General features: G+C 40.9%; 1 protein-coding gene across 57 annotated transcripts in view; it reads left to right on the top strand.

The window, feature by feature from the left end:
• The window catches only part of SYTL2 (synaptotagmin like 2), a 160642-nt gene that overhangs the window by 100336 nt on the left and 39268 nt on the right, over nt 1–21038 (top strand). For 19 of the 57 annotated variants that reach the window (NM_001394453.1, XM_047427166.1, XM_047427162.1 and 16 more), the window contains 5 exons: nt 6112–6263; nt 8763–8898; nt 16879–16960; nt 17920–18034; nt 19793–20596. In NM_001394453.1, the coding sequence (NP_001381382.1) occupies nt 6112–6263; nt 8763–8898; nt 16879–16960; nt 17920–18034; nt 19793–20596 (1289 nt within the window). The remainder of the gene's footprint in view (nt 1–6111; nt 6264–8762; nt 8899–16878; nt 16961–17919; nt 18035–19792; nt 20597–21038) is intronic. The other 38 variants (NM_001394458.1, NM_001394466.1, NM_001365827.2 and 35 more) reach the window with 3 other exon arrangements.

Here is a 21038-nt window from a genome sequence, read left to right as displayed (position 1 = left end):
ACAAAATTATTATTTGTCAATTAAATTAAAAATAATTTTTAATCTTCCTGGCACATAATATGTGATAGTTCATTTTAATTCCTTTATTCACCACTCTACCTATACCTCCAAAAAGGGGCAGGAGATTCTAGTTAGTAGACTGATTCCTTAGAAGGAAATTACTCCTAAAACTCTTAATTATTTAATGTAGTAGAAGTTAATTGAGCACCTATTAAGTACAAGGAACTGCTCTGGACAATGATATGAAGAGAATTCCAGGGTGATTGAAAACATGGCCCCAGCTCTCAAGGAATTTACTATCTAATGACCTTTATCCATTTAATGGATTATCAGTTGCAAATTTAAAATCTCAATTTTGTTTCCCTAACATGACTTTACAATGCCTCATTCCTCCTAGGTGTTATTTGGCTTAGAAACACATTATATAATTATATCAGCCCAATCAAAACATCATTAGAAAGGCCAATTTATTACTAAAATTCAGACTTTTCTTTTAAATACTAATGTTTTATAGACTTTGGAGTATAACTCTCCCGTAGCCAAGAGGACATCACTAATGGATACACCACTGTTGCCTGCAAGACCAGATATCACTTTAGAATCTTTTTCAGTATGGCGGTAGATGAGATCTGGCATTCAAATGGAAATGTTGCCATTCCTAATATGTCCAGTGCTTTGACTTGTTCACAGCCAAGCTCATTCAAGATACTTTGGAGATGATTTAGTTTATATGTCACTTCCCATCTTTTTTTTTTTTTTTTTTTTTTTAAAAAAGAGAGTTTCTCTCTGTGACCCAGGCTGGAGTGCAGTGAGGCAATCATAGCTCAGTGCAGCCTCCAACTCCTGGGCTCAAGTGATCCTCCTGTCTCCCAAGTAGCTAAAACCACATGTGTGTACTACCACATCCAGCTAATTAAAAAAAAAGGTTTTGTTACTTCCCATCTTGATTTCATGGATAGGAAAAGTGAGTGTTGCACAGAGACATATCCAGTTCCTAAATCACTTGGTCTGTTAATGGTAGAACATGGACTCGTACCCAAGGAAATAGTCACTGGGGTGTCTCTGGGGTACAGCTGAGACAATAACGGTTCCAGATCACTGTTGCTACCACACTGTCTTTTATGTTGCTCCACTACCTGTAGCCACAAGTACTGGACCCAGTTATTACCATGTATCGCTACACAGCCTGCTTCCCTAACTCCCATGTGGAGACATTTCACAGACCAGCAGTGAAGGAGACATCAGGGTGGATTCTTTCTCTCTCTTCCACCCCTATCCTGTGTCTTCTCTCCTGCTGCCCTGACCCACCTTTAAGGAAACATAACCATACATACACATATGTAATTTTAGTCTTTTATGGTTTGAAAATCACATACTCAAAAGGTGGCATTTCCTGTGCTTTGCGTCACACTGCCAGCAGGAAATTGCTGCTCATGTCTGTCTGTACACCACCACCAGCACTGCATCCCCCACCCCCATATACACACAACCACATCTACAGCGATGGGTGTTTTTGCAGTAGATACGATCTCAACCGCCACCACATCTTATGATTCTCAGCTGCCTCCTTAGACCTAGTTGTGTTTTTTTTTTTTTTTTTTTTTTTTTTTTTTTTTTAATGAAGGCAGTTGTCATTGAAGGACTAATTTCCAGGACCTCTCATGGTGTTTTTCTGTCAAAGCAAAGGGGAAAGGAACTAACATTTGTCAAGGGACTGTACATGGATCTTCACATAGATTTTCCTATTTCATCTTCAAAACAGTGTAGCTGAATCCACTTAACAGATGAGGAGATAGGGTTGAAGAGGGTAAGTGCCCCGCAGGATTGAAGCCTTGTTGATCCAACATCAAGGCCTGTGCACTTCCCTTACACTGTGCTGCCTCTCAGCAGACTGCAGAGATCTACGATGTGTCATGTAAAAGGTGGATATTTCTTGTTTTCTACTCTAAGGAAGGTTTGTAGTTTGTTTTCCACATGTTGGTTTTCAGATTCTTCATCAAAGATTGAGTTCCTTAGGAGAAAGAGTGAAGTGTGACAGCCATCTTAGAAACCGAAATCATGTTTGGCTCTCTGAGGCAGGATCGGGTAGTAGAAAGTGTGTTGGCTGGGAGTCAGACTGGCTTCTGCTGCCAGCTCTGTGTGACCTTGGGCAAGCCTCTTAACTTCTCTGGGCTTCTATCATTTTATCTAGAAAGTGAGGTCATTTGTAACTATCTAAGGTACCTTTCAGCTCTCACATTCAAAACAAACATCTGAGAGCACCTCCAAATCACACAGTCTAAACATCTTGCCCAGTATATTCTGGGCAAGATGAAAAAAGAAAGGCTGGAGAATAGACCAGTCAACCTATCTGGCCAGCAGCTGTCCACAGTTGACTAAATACTATGAACCAGGTCCTGCAGGTGATGTTCGAGCTTTGCCTAGTCCTGTTGAGTAGCTGGAAGCTGAGGTGTACATAAGTGAGCACAAGGAGAAAAGGGGTAGGCTGAGGGCAAATGTGTTGAATCCAGCCCAGAGGGCATTTCTGCTCTTCTGGCTTTCCTCTGTAAGTGCTCACACTCTTGGCATGAAAAGGAGTTGACATTGACAGTTAGGGCTGTAGATAGAATTTTTAATGTCCAATTTGAAGCAGATGGCTGGTATGGGAATTAATGAGTCAGTGAACAAATAGCCAGACAGGGTTTAGATATGGCTTTTAGCATACAGAAGAGGTAAAATGGCCATCTTTTGAAATGGATGAAATTCTTTGAACAGCATGGTGAAATTGTAAGGATGAAATGATAAGAGGCTTGTTAAGTGTCAGATGTGTGGTTCAGCACAAAGCAGATACTGTGTGCTAGCTGAAGGAATGGGAGAATGAACGAGAGAATGACCAGGACATCCCACCTGGGAGGCCAGCAGGCCAGTGTACTTTCTGGATTGAGTGCTCTTCTTCAGCCCTCACTTCTGCCCACCAGCCCACCGGTGTTTACTGAGCGTCTTCTCTCTACTTAACTCTCTGCTAAACATAACGTGTGTGTGTGGAGAGGATGGTAAAGGATAAATGTCAGTCCCAAGAAACTTACCCCTTTCTCTCTTCATCTAGATGGTACGATAATTAGAGAATCAAATGCTCATTTTGTTGATGTAATTAGAGTTCAGAAAAAAATGAGAGATGAACGTGGGCTGGAAAACGAGAAGATTTTAACAGCAGCACTAGATAGTGGGATTCTAAAAATGATCTACATCTTTACAAAACTTTGATGTTATACATATGGATTTATCTACGAAATAGTACAAGTGACTAAGATAGAAAAAGAAGTTGATTATTAAACCTAGTAGTGATAGTCATGTAAGGAAATATGTAAGTGGCACTTAACTACATTTGAAAGAATTTCCTGTTCTTTTGCCACTTTAAAACAAGTGAGCCAGAAACCCTTTCCTTACTATAATGGCTATCAGCCTTTGTAGGGACCATGTGTTTCAGGGAGTCGATGCAAAACCTGTGCTCATTGTGCATTGATCGTGGGCTTACAGACAGTCATTTAGGCAGGAACAGATCAAGGGTTGCACAAGAATCCCCACAAAGTGCATTTTAGTTGAAAAACAAAAATAAACAATCTTATGAAAAGAAATTGGGTGTTGTTCTGCTATAAGGGTTTGTGGCCTCCTTCAACAAGAATGCTGACCGACACCACATTTCATGATGTTTTTTCCTGTTCTGATGAGAGATGAGCATGTCCTGCTGCATCAGGAGGAGACACCATTCATTGTGATGGGGTCTGAGGTTCACTTAATCACAGCAGTGACAGGATCTTCTTGATCTCTTGCCTGACTCAGGATGGCTGCTGAGCGTTTATTTGTTCTTTGATTTATTCACTCAACAGACAGTTATTGGGTATCAGCTCTGTTCCAGGCTCCGTGCTAGGTGCTGGCATTACAAAGGTGGTTAAGACATAGTCCTCACTTTCAAGGAGTTTGCAAAGACCACAGGTTAGTGAGTACAACAGATGTGCAAACAGATCACTGGAATATGATATAGTAAGGACTGAAGTGGAGGTGCTGTGGGAGCAATGGAAAAGGAGAAACTGTAATAACTGTGCCCTCCTGAGTTAGGGAAAGCTTCCCAGTGAGGCAGTGTTTGAGCTGGATTTGAAGGATGAGGAGCAACGGGCTGGACAGAGAAGTGAGGGAAAGACATCCCATGAGACTTCACATTAACTGGCCTTGTACCAAGATCTAGGCAGTACTAAGTACTTTCAGTTAAACATCTCAATCATCTCAGAAGTCCTGGAGGGTAGGTCTTATTTTCCCTGATCCTTAAAAACAAGGAGACTAAAGCTTAGAGGAGTTTGGTAAACTGTCCAAGATCCCATCTAGGAAGGGTCAGAACTGAGATTTGGATGTAATTTGGGGAGCCTTGAAAACCCAGAGTCTTTCTGCCACAACTTCCTGCCTCTGTCATCTACAGAGGTCACAGAAGAGCACTGGAGAATTGTAAGAAGCTGAGCCTGCTGGCAAGTGGGGTATGGGCGTGAGTGCTGGAAAAATGAATCTGAAAAGGTAACCTGAAGCCTTTTTAGGTGGTCAGGAGCCTCATCTGATATTCCTCCACTCTGCAAGATCTGAATAAATACCCCGTATTTTCCAGACACTAAACAAAGATGTATTGAGTACAGACCCTGCCCCCAGGAACTCACCAGGGAGAAGTAGAAGAACTTCTCCATTCTGGAATTGAACTCAAACTTGGTCCTTTTGGGAGGAGAAGGCAAAGGTTCACCAACAGTCCAGCAGTTGTTTGCTCTGCTGAAAACAGTGTTGAAAGCAGTGTCAAACCATTAGGAACATTTAATAAAAACCATGATATCGTTGCTGACTGAGAACTATGAAGCAATGATGCTCTCCCTGTTAGGGTTTATAGATGGGGCTGTCATGACAAAGAGAGGAAGTTCCTGTAAGAGTTTACTCTGGGTGGAAGGACACTCTCCAGGCACGCTTGGGAGAGAGGAGACATTCTTGCTAGACCTGGGATAACTGCTCCCCCTCTTTTTCCCACTCCCAGGTATGCCTGTGTGCAACCCTTACATGCAGCGCTGCTACCACCTTGGCCCATTCACATTCTCTGCCTGAAGCACTTTGATTTGCTAATTGAGGAAGAGTGCATATTAGTTTGTATGACTATCTTAAAACCCTCTTGGATTTATGTTAGCACATTATCTTCCAAGAGTATAGTGTTCCCTTACAGCTTTTATTCCACTTTATTCTAAGTACATCTCTATAAACAAGAGAGATTTTGTGATTTTTTTATTTTACTGAGATGGATAGAGAGATGGAGAGGTTAAGACTTGTCAGTTAGAACAAAGTTTTTAGGGAAGTTTTAGGAGGGCAGACTATCTTGTTTGTTCTTTAGGTTTTAGCTTTTCAGTAAGCATGAATAATTGTGAAACTCTTAAATGCAGGATCTGCACAAATGGAACTTGCCTGTACACACTCCTCCTCAATTTTGGTCTTCCCTGATTCCAGCAGCCTTTTAAAGATGCCTTTCCCTAACAATAAGCATCAGAGACATCACTCCTCCTCCACAGGCTTCCAGGAAAGTCTCTAATAAACTCATATCACCCAAAATGGAAAGGACTGATGAGCTAATGACTACCCCATCCAGTGTTTATTAGGTGCCAGGGAGGTGCAGAGAGCTATTGAATGAATTCACTCGGTTAAACCTCAAAGAAACCCCAATTTTAAAGTCCAAAGGTTACTATTACTAATGCTTTTTTACGGATAAGGAAACCAAGGCTTAGGGAAGCCTACCGTATTATCCCTCCCTGGGGTATTTGCATTTGAACAGCAGACACTGAAGAATGCAGCCAAAAAGTGAATCTGCTCTTGAGAAATTTCAGGCATCATACGGGAATCGTGGATTAAACCTTTATTTGAAAAAATGTTGGCCTTGTCTTCTCTGACTTTTCAAAGGTGAACATACACTTGTTAGTCATCTGGGAAGTTTCTGGGATCATCTGAAATATTAAAGCTTCATTTTATCTGTGTGTTTACACATGTCTTTATGCGGTGTCATAATGAACTCATTTATTTACTGTGGGTTCTCAGCAAACTAAAGATCTTTTCCTTTTGTAGACATTTGCCTGAAAAAATTAAGGATGACCAGCAGCTGAAGAATATGAGTGGCCAATGGTTTTATGAAGCCAAGGCAAAAAGGCACAGGGACAAAATCCATGGCGCAGATATCATCAGAGCATCTATGAGAAAGAAGAGGCCCCAGATAGCAGGTGAGTTGACTTGGCTAGTGCATTTACAACAAGCATTCGTTTGGGAAGGAGGAGCGGGGAGAAGGGAATGGTGTCAGAAATCTGCTGATGGAAATCATTTGGATGTACACTTTTCATAATGTGTGGCCCTCTAGTTTAAATTTCCCTTGCCTTGGATTTGGATGGATGAGGGCAGAGCTAAGTGACTCAGTGTGGTGTAGAGGAACATAGGAAGCCCTTTAGGTGCCCTGTTGAATTATAGTAGCATAGATAGTTGGGGCCTGTAAAGGATCTACCACCTCTTCTTTGGCTTTTAACTCTGAAGATTCAGAATCTTCTGAGTAAAATGAAGGGCTTAGACAAAAAGATATCAGCCTCTCTTTTCAGTGATCTTAACATATGGTAGTACTTTCTTAATTAACCAAGTACATTATTTAAGAGACCGTAAAGACATTTTTTTAATGGAAAAACCTTCTTGTTTATTTGATTAAACAAAAATAAATTAAGCTGTATAGGAACAAGTTTAAAGTCCAGACAGACATCAACTTTGTTTTGAGGCTGTAGTAGCTGACACAGCATCTCCTTGCTACCTACTCCAGCCCTCTCTGTGGACCACAGTGATATATTCAAGAGCCTGTTAGCTAACACAGGAGTTTTAAAACACTTTTCCATTGGTTCTTCACCTGCTTATTGCCTGTCATGCCTGTGGCCTACAATAGTAACATTTAAAAGTGAAAGTCAAAAGAGGGGGGAAATAAAAATGCCAACCAACCAAAAACCCACTTCTGCCTAAAGGTTTGGGGGGAAATCTTTACTTATCCACCCATCTACTGAATTGATGGGATTTATACTATCATGACAATGCCCATTTAAAAGTGGCAAAGGCAGCCAGCATCCCACCCCAGATGGGCTTGTAGCATGGTTTCTGTGGCCAGGGAGGTTACTATGATAGTGCGTATTCCTTATATCATGGCATTATTTTTATGTCTTTTTTTTTTTTAATAGACATAGAGTCTTACTATTTTGGCCAGGCTGGTCTCGAACTACTGGCCTCAAGCAATCTTCCTGCCTCACCCTCCCAAAGTGCTGCGATTATAGACATAAGCCACCATGCCTGGCAAAGGCAATCTTTTGAGGGCTTGTTTAAAATTCTATCAAGTTCATTAAATACTTACTGGTTGCCTTCTCTCTAATTAACTCTGGCTTAGTCCATGTAAAGCCTTGTCAAGGTCTACCCTGTACTCAATAAGGAAAATAGCCATCATCTTTTGAGCATGTGATATAGGATAGGCATTTAATTTCTATTATTTCTAATTGTTGCAGTAATCCTGTGAGGTAGGCATTATTTCCCCCATTCTATACATGGGGCATATGAAGCTCAGAGAAGTTAAGTAACTTGCCCGAGATTATGTAATTGGCAAATGGCAGAGCCAGGATTTCAAAATATTTCTGAATTAGTGCCATACTCCTTGCAGAAAAGGACTGACTGCTTAGTACGTACAGTGCATTGTTTGTAGCCCTCTTGCTTTTCAAAATCACCCAGACCTTCAGAAATCTTGAGGGTACTGGTTAGTACCAGGTGACCCCATTTTGCAGTTGAAGAAACTAGGCTTACATGTAACAGGACCTGTGGGGGGATACTCTCCTGGAATATGGGTATTTGGAAACTGGAAGCTCCAGCACTGCTTCATCCTAATATTGATGAAAGTATTCTGGGCACTTACTGGCTCTGTGGCCTTAGGCAAGTTTCTTGAACTTTTTGATCCTCAGTTTTCAAATCTGTGTACTTGGAAAATAGCTCTCATAGAATAATGCATGCAAAGAACTCAGCACAGTGCCTGGTAGTTAGTTATCATTCAGTTGCTGCTAATTATCAGAGATGTTCAGGTAAAGAGTGAGTGCTGGATGTTCAGAGGCAAAAGAGGTTATTTTCTGAAGCAGGAGCACAGAGGTTTTATGGGGGCTCTGACACCTGAGCTGGGATTGAAGAATATGTAGTTTTGGATTTGTAGAGACTGTGGGGAGGAGGAGAAGGCAGCAGAGGAAGACATTCCTAGACCATAATCATTTGTTCCCCTTTGTATCTTAGAGCACATACAAGATATTTGAACACATTGTAGCTATTCAGTAAATGCTTGGTAATGATGGTGCTTCTATCCCACTGAGGACTTCCTGCCCTGAGCATCCCCTGGCCATGCACATTTAGACCTGACCCCAACTCAGTTCAGATTAACCTAGAGGCAGTCAGAATTTTGCTTTAATGGTCTCTGGAGTTACTCTCACATTTAAAGGTATGCTCATTCTCTCAAGAGACTCTGCTTGGGGAAATCTAATGTCGTGGGAATTTACTGACTTCTCTCTTAGATGTAATTCTGATCAACTACTTAGACCCAGTGATTGCCTTGGCACTGGGAAGGCCTGAGGTTCAGGTTCAAGGCTTCAGTGATAAGAGCTGATAAGAGAGTTGTAGGTCATGGAGGTGAGAGATAACCTTCCTGTCTTTACTGTTTCCTGTTTCAGCTGAGCAGAGTAAAGACAGAGAAAATGGGGCAAAGGAAAGCTGGGTGAATAATGTCAACAAAGATGCTTTCCTTCCTCCAGAGCTGGCTGGCGTTGTAGAAGAGCCAGAAGAAGATGCAGCACCAGCAAGCCCGAGGTAAGGCAAAGCTTCTGGGGAGAGCTGCTGCATGTGGCTTTCATGGCCTGGGGTGTCACATGGGCAGAATGGCAGGCTATGAGTACAGATGCCAGACTGGGGTCATGGGCATGGGGAAGGGGCAGTGTATGAGAGAATTCTGGGCCCCGATGCAGATAAAGCCCAAGTGGTACTCTTTCTCAGCTTCCAGAATTTCCAACAAATCTATATCTTAAATAAAATAAAAATGTTAAGTGGTGATTTCTTCCAGTACCAGCAAGAGCCGTTTTTATTTCTCCCATGGATTTCTCCTTAGAGTAGAATGAAGAGGTACTTCAATTTGAATATCAAGGAATAAGTCATTTCAGGGAAAAGATAAACTATGATCAGATTGTAACAGCCTAGTGCAATGGAAGAAGCTCAAGCACAAGAACCAGATAGATGTGAATTCAATTGCCGAATCTGCGATTTATTAGCCATTTGACTATGGGCAAGACATTTAACCTTTCTGAGTCTATATTCTTAACTATAGCTAGGAACAATAATATATACCTGAAAAGCTATGGCAAGAATTAGTGATAAGGTATGTAGAATACCTGGCATGATAGATACTCAGTAAATGCCTCTTAAGGATATAGATTATCTTCAATATTATAGTCTTGGGGTTTTTTGGTGTTTTTCCTACATGTTGTTATCTGACCAATCAAAATGTACATTTGTACATCTTTGCTGAGATGCAGCCAATTGTGGGCCTACATTGCTATAAACCTTTTGAGCCATAATGATTTGTTTTTAGGTATTTAAGGATCTTCTCATGGGTGTCTGTTCCTTGAGGGCATAGTTGTTACCCTTTAGTGAGAGGGGCAGTTGCCTTTTACCTGTAGCTCCTCAATTAAGTTAGTTCAATTCAGAGTCTTCAATTGGGATGAAGTTGATGAATTTACTGGTGGGATGTCACTGAATCAGGGTCTAAGGCTGAGGCACCTGGAAACAGGGATATTTCTAGCATAGTTTATAGGTGTCAGGGAGGGTATATGATATAAGTACCAATAGGTATTTTAAAGTCAAATATGAGTAAAGTTATATCATGTGGATAATGGAATACTGACTCTATGGGTACTCTAAGGGTACCCTTTATTTATCTATTTCCCATTTGGAAAGGGGATCATTCTGTTTCCCATGAATGGCAGGCTGCACTGTTTCCCCTCTGGGACTATTTGTAATATTCTTTTATATCTGTAGAGGCCATCTTTGCTGGGGATAAAACACCTTAATAGTAGTCACTAATTGATAATGTGACCTTACAGTAGTACTGACTTAACTCCTTGGACTTTTATTTCCTCAGTTTTAAAATGGGAACAATAATATTAATAGTTTGCTAGCAGAATTACTGAGAAGTTAATTAGCCAGTGAATATAGAATTCCCAGTGCAGCCCATTAGCACGTAGTAAGTGCTCAAGAAATGGAAGCATGAGCTCTTGCCTACATATAAGATATTTCAGGAACACCAGGAAGGAGTGTGAAGGACACACTATTCTGTCCCCCTGGGTGACTCCCCACTTGCCACCTGCCTATAATCTCTCTAATGGAATGAAGGCCTTCCTTCATAAAGAAAGATGAGACCTAAAATATTGTCATGTTAAAGAAACACAAAGAGAGAGAACATAGTTATTTATATTTACCACCAAGAAGCTGAGAGAAGCTCTTAAGAGCTGGCTTTGATGGGGACTGGGGAGCACTAGAACACTGACCAGCTGAGGGAGGAGGGAGCAGGTGCCACAGAAGGGGAAAGGAGATGATTTGGGAGCATCAGAGACAAATAGCTCATTGCCCCATTTTATCTGGGTCAGACTTTCCATCCTTCTTCCAGGAACTTATTCTATCTCAGTGGGCCTGAGGGTCAGAGGTGCCACTGTCCTCATAGCCTAACTTTTTCTTCATGAACCGTGGGGCTGGTGGGTATTCTCCCACTCTTCCTCAACTTGAGGCTAATAACATAGTATTCAAGATTAGCATCTCCGTTATTTTCTGCATTCCTTGTGTGACTTCAGGCAAGTCTTTCAGGTCTCATCTGTAAATCAGAACAGAATTTCCTCACCAGGACATTGTGAGATTAAATGAAACAAGGTATGAGAATCAGTCAGCATTTCTCAGGAAGAAAGAAAATTGGCCATTTTCCGGTGGCATGAAAATTGTTATTATTACATGGATGAAGTATGTTTGAGAAGGCAAGAATAAAGATGTTAGGCGTATCCAGGATGCTTTGCTCATTAAAGGCCAGTCCTATAACACATGCCATGGGTGGTAATTATCCAGAAAGTTAGAATGAGCTATTTTTTACTTCCTTCTTTCTATATTAGAAACTACTACCTTACTCAGTATCAAGTTCCTGCAATGTTTCTTACCTATACTTTAACCTTTGTGAACTGGGTGTGTTAAGTGTATTTTGGGGCCTGTACTTTTAGACTAAGTGAACTTTAATAGAATGACTCAATACCTGTCAGTATTTCCTTAGCCAGGAGTCAGAAGTTGGGGAGTGTAAGGTGATAGGCTGGTTATTGTAGTTTCTGGAGTTTTGCTAATAGGCTCTGTGGCAACATCTTTCTTTCTGTTGTGGGCACGATTCTGTGGGGTTCCACACATGAAGAAGTAAAACACTGTGGGTACCCAGCATGTAGTCAAGCATTGGCAGCTGACTGCATTCTTTCTTAACTCACCTTTGTTTGCACCTGGAGTACAAGGAAGCAGAGAGGTTTATGAGCAGAGGAGAAGAAAATAAGGCTTGTTCTGGAGTAGCAAAAGGAAAACCCTGAATGCTCACATTTCTAGTTCTGGTTACAGACTTTTCAGGTGGGCAGTGTTGGTTGGACCAGCACTTCATAAACCCTTTGTAGTGAAGGACTAGTTTTGTTTCATTTTAAAGTTTTTATTTCTAATCATCACAGATTGATATCTTATGTAAAATATAATGAAAATAAATACTAGAAAAATAAAATACAGAAAACAACAGTGGCATGCAAAAGATAAGCCCGTCGATCATGTTTGCTATAAATAGTTCTTCAGCACATAGCCTCCGTTTCTGTACTTATCTCATTGTGAACCAGTGGCAAACAGTGCATGGATGGGCACTGGTCCATGAACCATATGCTGATAGCACATTGTGTGCCCCCCACAACAGAAAATAACTCTTGAATATGTACACAGTAATCCACAGGACATGGCTGAGCCAAGGTGGGGAGTACAGAATGAAGACTCATCCCATGAAGGTCAGGACCCTGTCCGTAAATGAGGTATAATGTTTCCTGACTATCAAATTAGGTCTGTTCTGGTTTTACTAAGAAGCTGTCACTTCAGAAGTGTCCCCATAAGCCCTGGCAATTATAGAAAAATAGAGGAGAATTTGAGGGCCCTCTCAGATTTGCATAGCTATGAGAGAAGAGCATTCAAGATGGAGAACTAGACTGCAGGAGGTAGCCAATAAACCTCTGCGTGGCCATGCCCTGTCCTTGGCTTGTAAGGAGGCTTGGCTGCTGCAGAGGTTTGTAATGGCTAGTAATCAAACATCTCTAGAGAATGTCTCCCAAATGAGTTCAGGGAGAACAAGATCAACCCTTCACTGTTGTATTTCAGTCCATGGCATTGGCAGGTTTTCTTCTGGGCACTTACCTGTAAAATCGCAAGAAAATGATAAATTTCCTTGCAAGAAAAACTGTGCATTTACACCTAACTTTGTTTTTGGTAGAATTAAAACACTATTTGGTAAGTCTTTGTGCTTCATTGCCTGTGCCTTAGGGATGCTTCTGACACCAGTCTCCTTCTTACCGTCTGTTGAATAGGAACCAATCAATTAAAGCCACATCTTTAGCTCTTAGTTTTCCCCCACAATGCTCTTTTTCCTGAAAGTCTTTCGTAGATATTAATTTCCCTCTCCCAGAAGGATTAGCTATTGCGTTTACCCCTAGTATTAAGATGAGTGTAAGGTACCTAGCTTGCTCCCAAAGGCAGGGTAGAGATGAGCCAATCTGAGATAATGCATCTGATATTTTTTCCCAGGATTGATAGCAAATCTAGTAATGTGAAGATTTCATTTCTTGGAGGCCTGGCCTACAAAGTCATTTATATTGAACTCTTAAAATAATAATTCTTAATTCTATAAGAGCTCAGATTTACTCATATCAGTTGTAGTAAGAATAGTTTCACTGTGACATAAAAATGCCTCATACTTTTATATGCATGTTCAACAACTCTGTAGCCTGAACAGTGGGAACACTGGAGAACTATGTATACTCACAAGTAATATTTTACTTAAAGAAATACTGACTTGAGGTGCTTCAGATAAGATATTTTCTAATTTGCTTCCCTCACTCCATCCCTGAGCCGTTTCTTCATTTGTTTGCTCATTTGTTCATGCTTCATTAAGTGCCAACACATGCCAGCACAGTTCTGGGTGCTGGGGATGAGACACAGCTTGAGCCCCCAAGGAAGTCACAGTACAAAGGGAGAGATCAAAACAACAAAAAACAAGTCAACAACACTTGTAGAATTTGGTTCTATAAACAACATTTAAGCTAAGAAAAAAAAAAAAACCTCAGAAAAAGGCATATCTGCTACTATTTTTAACTGTTGTAGAGAGAAAGGCTGGTGAACGTTAAAAACCTTTTTTAAATGACTGCATGTGCATAGAAGCACCTTGTGGCTGGGTATAGCAGGCAGCTGCCTGTGTGGTATAATTTTAAAACGGCTGTAAAACCTCTTCCCCCAGTGGCCCTTCCTGATGTTATTTATTCTTTTTATTTAAGATTTCAAAGACTTGTATTAAAATGAAGATGCTTTTAGGAGGGGCACCCTGATGCCAATACCATAGTCTAATATTTTAATAATCTTCTTAACAAAGTAAACTAATTCTGTCTGAGTGCTGCTTCTAATGTTGCAGTTCCTTTTTTGAAGAGTGCCTGAGGGAAGGTTACAGAACACAGGGTATGGAATTTGGCTTGCTTCATAGTTTAAAAATCTTATCATGTGGAATGTATGGAGTATCTTTTATATTCAGGACACAGTCTGCTACCCTCTGAGAGGAATTCTAAGAAACAGAAGACACAGTATCTGGCTCTATTCTGTATTCTCTTAGGAAAAATAATGCACCGATTTATGAAGATATGACCACATGATAGCAAATAGTGCCAGGAAGAAAGGAAATTCCTAATCCAAAGTACCAATAAAATGTGCTGCAATAATTGAGGCAAGAGAGACATACTCCTAGCCAGGTTGATATAAGAGGTGAGATTTGGACTGGGCATGAAGAGGATAGGGACGATTTGGGTAGACAAAGAAAGCAAAAAGAACACTTACAAGGAGGGACTGGGAATAGGTTAAGTGGAAATAGCAGAGTCAGGTGAGTTTCTGGGGCAGTAAGTAGATTGACCATTTTGTTTGGCATGAAAGGTCAATAGAAAGGAAGAATGGGAAGTATATTGGGGCAGATGGTGGATGGTCTCCAGTACCTTGCCAAGGAGTTCAGACTTCATTCCACAGGCCTTGAGGATCCTGCAAAGGTAATGAACAGAAGAAAGACACCACCAAAGTTGCATTTTGGACCACTCCAGCGTAGTGGTAGAACGTAGAATGGTTTAGGAGAGTGGAACTTGGGAGTCAGGAAGCCAAATGTGAGGCCAATAGAGTTGACACAAATAAAGGAGGTGTCAGTAGAGGTAGAAGAGACAGATGTGGGAGTCTCTGGGAGGGAAGAATCACCCAGACTTGCCTCCAGTCCTCTTGCCACAAGCCACTGCTTTAATGCAAGAAACCAGAGGCAGTATAGCCTAGCCATTACCATGATTGTCTTTGGAGTCAGACACACCTGGGTTCAAATCCCCAGCTCTTTTGCCAATTTTGTAACATCAAGCAGGTGACTTAACCTCTGTGAACCTCAGTTTTTTCATAAGTGAGATGGAGAGAATGATAGATAAAATGATAGATAACATAGAGATGATGCAAGGATCAATTGAGAATAAGGTGGTTGCAGTACTGATTGCCCAATAAAAGACAGACAAGCAAAACATTATAGTATCCCTTGAGAGAAACAAAGCTACTAGGAAGTAGCTGCATTTTCAGACAAAATTTGAGGAAATAAGACTCTTGTTTTAATTTTTTCCTATTAAGCAGACTGTAAACTTTAACTGAGTATCCCCCCTCATCCCAGTTTGCCCCTATCCCAACCACAAGGTAACTGAATGAATCCTGTGTGTTTCTAATATTTTAGTGTCTGACTATGTGTTCTGACTGTTTTGTTTCTTCCTCTCTTTTTCTTTCCGAATAGCGGAAACAGACATTTTGTTTAATACCTGAATAGTCTGCCTCACTGCAGTTTTGCAAATAACATGGATTAAAAAAAAAAAAAAAAAAAAGCCAGCCTCCTGCTTACTATCTGTTGCTGCTTCTCCTGGCACTGGCTCAATTGGCCTTCGTTTATTTAGCCATTCACCAGTTATGTACCAGGCACTGTGCAAGGCACTGCAGGGGATATAAAGATGTTTGAGATACTCTTGAGGGATCTCCCACTTTACTATGCGAGGTAAGATATGTATACACAGAGGAGGTTGCATAGTAGACATGAAATACATAGCTAGGTACAGCTCAGTAAGGGAGAGACCTCATCTCTAGGAGGTAGGGACTACATGATTTGCAATATGGGCTGTTGAGGCTGGCGGCCTGGAGGCACAGGAACTGGAATTTCAGGGAGCAGAGGGAGAAGGATATAGACACTCTGCTTATCCTTTGGGCTTGGTGAGTGGGAAGGGGAAAGGAGAAAGATGGTGGAAAAAGACAGGTGTTCCACAGAGACCCCCAACCATCAGCACTTGGCTCAGGTCTTCTGATTATGTAACTGCTTTATTTACTAAGGAAGATTATGCAGAACACTCTGAGAAACTGAGCATAGCATCGACTATAGGGATGTTGTTCCTCATATCACCCACTGGCTTCTAAAAATGACATTCAAGAGAAATTGCTTTCTGGTTCTGAGCTATTGGTTGTTTTTATTATATAGAGACTGAATTATATCAGTGACTAGGTTTCTTTTTTCACTGTTTCTAGATAGCTTGATTCAAGTTTGTGCACACCTATTACAGGAATGGAGGACTCCTGTAATGTGTCTATTAGTCTTAATTCGGGCTCCATTATACATTCCTATTCTGTTCCCTCCCCTTTCCCTCCCATCCTCTATTTTCCCCCTTTCTCGCCTCTATGTAATCAGGCTGTATTTTATATCCTTCTGCTCATCTGCTATAATGCCTTTCTGGAACAATGAAAGGAAGTAATGAAAGGAAGAATGGCTTCTTCAAGAGCTCAGCCTTTTCTTGGGAGTAATTGTGTAAAAATAGCAATTGAAGTACAGAGATAAAGAAAAGAAATGAGGCTGCAGGAACATCTAGCCCATGGTTTTAGTGACAACAATCTTGGTTGAGGTTCTGTGGCCTTGGGGGCAAATTATTCCCCTCCTCTCCAGGCCTTTGGTTCCTTACTTCATGGGGAAAAGCAGGAATCTTACCCCTACCTCCACAAACTAAGGTGTTTTCCAAGCTCCTGACTCTGTGATGCCACTGAGAGAACTGGTGGTGGTAACAGGACACGAAGGCTTCAGCCAATAGCAACTTCACCTCCTGTGCCTGAGGCAAGACCACTGGAACAGGAAGTCTGAGCAGGTTGTTCCTCTCCCCACCCAGGGCCTCCGTGACCCTCTTTTGCCCTTCTCAATCAACAGTCAAGGGTGTGGTGGTTCTGGAGGGAGCCTGCTCACTTCACTTGTCTCCACTCACTCTTGCCTTACTCTCACTCTGGTGCTGTCCTGTCCCTGGGATAGGGAATAATTCTCTAGAGAATCCTTCTTATTCTTCTGCACCAGCTTCCTCTCCTAGCCTGCTGATAGCTTTCCACTTCAGAGGCATAATTTATGATTCCTCAAAAGGTGAGGTTTTATTCTCTGAATTATTGTTTCTTTTGCAGTTCCAGTGTGGTAAATCCAGCTTCCAGTGTGATTGATATGTCCCAGGAAAACACAAGGAAACCAAATGTGTCTCCAGAGAAGGTAGACTGAGCCCAGATTTTGAAAATCTTGTATTTGTTAGGAATGCCATTTTTCCTCATTGTGTCAAAGCACCACAAAATAAAGAGAATTTTGTAGTACAGTTTTTTGGTACCAAATACAGGTAATTTTCACTATTTTAAGAAGTCACTAGTTTAAGAAGTCACTCTCATGGTGGAAAAAGTGGATGGATACCATGTCATTGCATTGCTGAAGACCCAGATTTCTTGCCCTAGAGGGTAAAAAGTCTGAAGCTATTTGGTGCTGCTGCTTTTTAGCATATGGAATAAGGCTTGTTAGTTCCATGTCAGTCCTTATTCCTATATTCCTATGCATAGCTTCCTAAATCTCTGTTAGAGATCTGCTTCTGGGAGAGAATTGCTAATTTATTAAACTATAGACAGTAAACATTGTTATTGATTCCTATATTAATTTTTAAAACCTCTATTGATACCATTTTTATCATTAGAATTGATGATAATAATAATGACTATGAAGCACTTCAAGATACCTAAAATGTCTCCAAAATCTTTAGGAAAGGTCAATTACAGTTGTATTTTGTACACTTGTGATCTAGCACACTGAGAGTCTGGTATGGTAGAAGAATCACTGGTGGGACTCTGACCTGATTAGAGACCCAAGTTTCCTTTGACCTTGATCTGGTCTTTGCTATATCCGGGGCCAAGTTTTTTCACCTGTAAAATGTGGGATTTTGATTTAAGTGTCTGATTCTGAGCTAACTTTGTAGGACTCTGGCTTTGCATATATTTTATATAATTTTTAAATGGCATATATGGTAACTCTGTGCTAAGCAGATTAATCAGGACAACTGTTTTTCAAACATGCCAAATAATGGAGTTTATGGGATAAAACTATCAAAATTGAAGATAATAGGCATTTGCCAACACTGAGTTGCTGTCATGACATTTAAAATAAGTTTAATAAACAATATTTGTCCCCAGCAGAGGAAGAATCCGTTTAATAGCTCCAAGTTGCCAGAAGGTCACTCATCACAACAAACTAAAAATGAACAGTCAAAAAATGGAAGAACTGGTTTATTTCAGACTTCAAAAGAGGGTAAATATTATTTTTATGAACTTGATTTTTTTATCTTTGTTATCTGTGGACTAAGGGAAATTCTCAGAGTTCCTTTTGCTCAAATAACTTCCAAGAGAAAGTGAAAAGTCCTGATGGTTTTCTTATTTTACGGTGCTTGTTGGTTTCCTTCCTGAGGGAGAGGAAGCAGAAATTTGAGAAACTGATAGCTCACGCATTCCAGTCTCAGAGCTGTGACTTGTTACGTGACTTCCATTGTGTCTTGGATTCCCTCATCAGTAAATTGGGAGATTTTTTGACCCAAGACATTCAGTCTTCCACTTAACAGTATTTATTAGATGCCTACTGTGTGTTCACAAAGTTCTGTTTAAAAGGGCTTGCCTCAAGAAGAAAAAGCCTGTTGACAATGTTATGATCCTCTAATCTGTAATTCTCAGCCCAGCCGCCCAAAAGCGTTTGATCAGGTTTGTGGCTCAATTGATGTAAGTCAGCCTGCTATGGAATTTTATCATTTTTATATACTGTTAAGAGGAAATGCTAAACATTTCAATCTCTTCAAAAGCAACTTGAAGAAGATTCCACAAGCATTAAAGAGTGGTTAGGGGTAGAAAATTAAAAAACAGTGGAGCTGGGGTTTTCAATTAGCCTGTCTGAATATTAAAATACTTTCCACTGGGCACGTTTTAGATTACATAAAATATTTTGTAGAAGAAAATCACTGGAACATGTTAGATGTTTGTTTTTAACTTTTCTTTTTTTTTTTTGGCCATGGAGTCCCACTCTATTGCCCAGGCTGGAGTGCAGTGGTGCAATCTCGGCTCACTGCACCCTTCGCCTCCCGGGTTCCGGGGCTTCTAGTGCCTCAGCCTTCTGAGTAGCTGGGACTACAGGCGTGCTCTACCACACCCGCCTAATTTTTGTATTTTTAGTAGAAATGAGGTTTCACCCTTTTGGCCAGGCTGGTCTCAAACTCCTGGACTCAAGTGATCCACCCACCTCGGCTTCCCAAAGTGCTGGGATTACAGGTGTGAGCCACTGCGCTTGGCCTGTTTTTAACTTTCTGACAAAAATAAATTTTGTGTTAGGTAATGGGGTTTTATTTTTTTAAACTGAATTTCCTTTTCTGATTTCTGCAGGTGAATTTAAGTGACTTCTATGTTTTTCTTTAAGCCTCTTTTGAGAAATTTTCTTTTCATTCTTAAAAAAACTTTCTGTATTGGGTGTAAAATAATCACAAACTATATAAAGCACAGTAATCTTAAATGTACAGTGCAATGAAGTTTATACATGATTTTTCGAATAGACGTTATTTTTTAGAGCAGTTTTAGGTTCACAATATTGAGCAAAAGATACAGACGTTTTCCATATACACCCTCTCCCCACACAGGCATAGCCTCCCTCATTATCAACATTCCTCATGAGAATGGTACATTTGTTACACGTGATGAACCACATTGAGACATCACTATCACCCAAAGTACATCGTTTACATCAGGGTTCACTCTTCATGGTGTACATTCTATGGGTTTAGACAAAAGTATAATAGTGTGCGGCCACCATTGTAGTGTCATAGAGTAGTTCCAGTGCCCTAAAAGTCCTCTGTGCTCCAATGCATGAATTTTTAAAAGCTTTTCACATTAGGCCTGTAGTTGTGCCACATACTTTACTGTCTTTAATATTTTAATAGTTTCACTAAGTGTAGGTTAAGTTTATGACAGGTATTTTAAATTATATATTACTCTCTATATGATATATCACCTACTGTGTTTTAATTTTCAGATGAATTGTCAGAGTCAAAAGAAAAGTCAACTGTCGCAGATACTTCAATCCAAAAGTTAGAGAAATCAAAGCAGACTTTGCCAGGCCTTTCAAATGGGTCCCAAATCAAGGCTCCAATCCCCAAAGCCAGGAAGATGATCTACAAATCAACTGATTTAAACAAAGATGATAACCAGTCTTTTCCTAGACAAAGGACAGACTCCCTGAAAGCGAGAGGGGCTCCGAGAGGGATCCTCAAGCGCAACTCCAGTTCCAGTAGCACAGACTCAGAAACCCTTCGTTATAATCACAACTTTGAACCCAAAAGCAAAATTGTGTCACCTGGCCTAACCATCCATGAGAGAATTTCTGAGAAGGAGCATTCTTTAGAAGACAACTCTTCCCCAAACTCCCTGGAGCCATTAAAGCATGTGAGATTCTCTGCAGTGAAGGATGAGCTTCCACAGAGTCCTGGGCTAATCCATGGTCGGGAAGTAGGAGAATTTAGTGTTTTAGAATCTGACAGATTGAAAAATGGAATGGAAGATGCAGGGGACACAGAAGAGTTTCAGAGTGACCCTAAGCCTTCTCAATACAGAAAGCCTTCGCTTTTTCATCAATCAACCTCAAGCCCATATGTATCAAAAAGTGAAACACATCAGCCAATGACTTCTGGTTCTTTTCCAATTAATGGGCTGCATTCTCATTCAGAAGTTTTAACTGCAAGACCACAGTCTATGGAGAATTCACCAACCATCAATGAACCCAAAGATAAATCATCAGAATTAACAAGGCTTGAATCTGTATTACCCAGAAGCCCTGCTGGTAAGAGAGTTGTCACTACTAGATTATAAAAACTTGGTGGGGCCGGGCGCGGTGGCTCACGCCTGTAATCCCAGCACTTTGGGAGGCCGAGGCGGGTGGATCATGAGGTCAGGAGATCGAGACCATCCTGGCTAACAAGGTGAAACCCCGTCTCTACTAAAAATACAAAAAATTAGCCGGGCGCGGTGGCGGGCGCCTGTAGTCCCAGCTACTCGGGAGGCTGAGGCAGGAGAATGGCGTGAACCCGGGAAGCGGAGCTTGCAGTGAGCCGAGATTGCGCCACTGCAGTCCGCAGTCCGGCCTGGGCGACAGAGCGAGACTCCGTCTCAAAAAAAAAAAAAAAACAAAAAAAAAAAACTTGGTGGGCTTGAAATGCCCAGGCCAGCTAGTCCTGTAGAAGCCCAATTTAACCTTCTAGGCATTCCATCTACAATTCAGACAG

Source organism: Homo sapiens, chromosome 11, assembly GCF_000001405.40.
Source record: "Homo sapiens chromosome 11, GRCh38.p14 Primary Assembly".
NCBI lineage: Eukaryota > Metazoa > Chordata > Mammalia > Primates > Hominidae > Homo > Homo sapiens.
The sequence above is the reverse complement of the archived record's forward strand: the minus strand, read 5'-3'. Positions and strand labels throughout refer to the sequence as shown.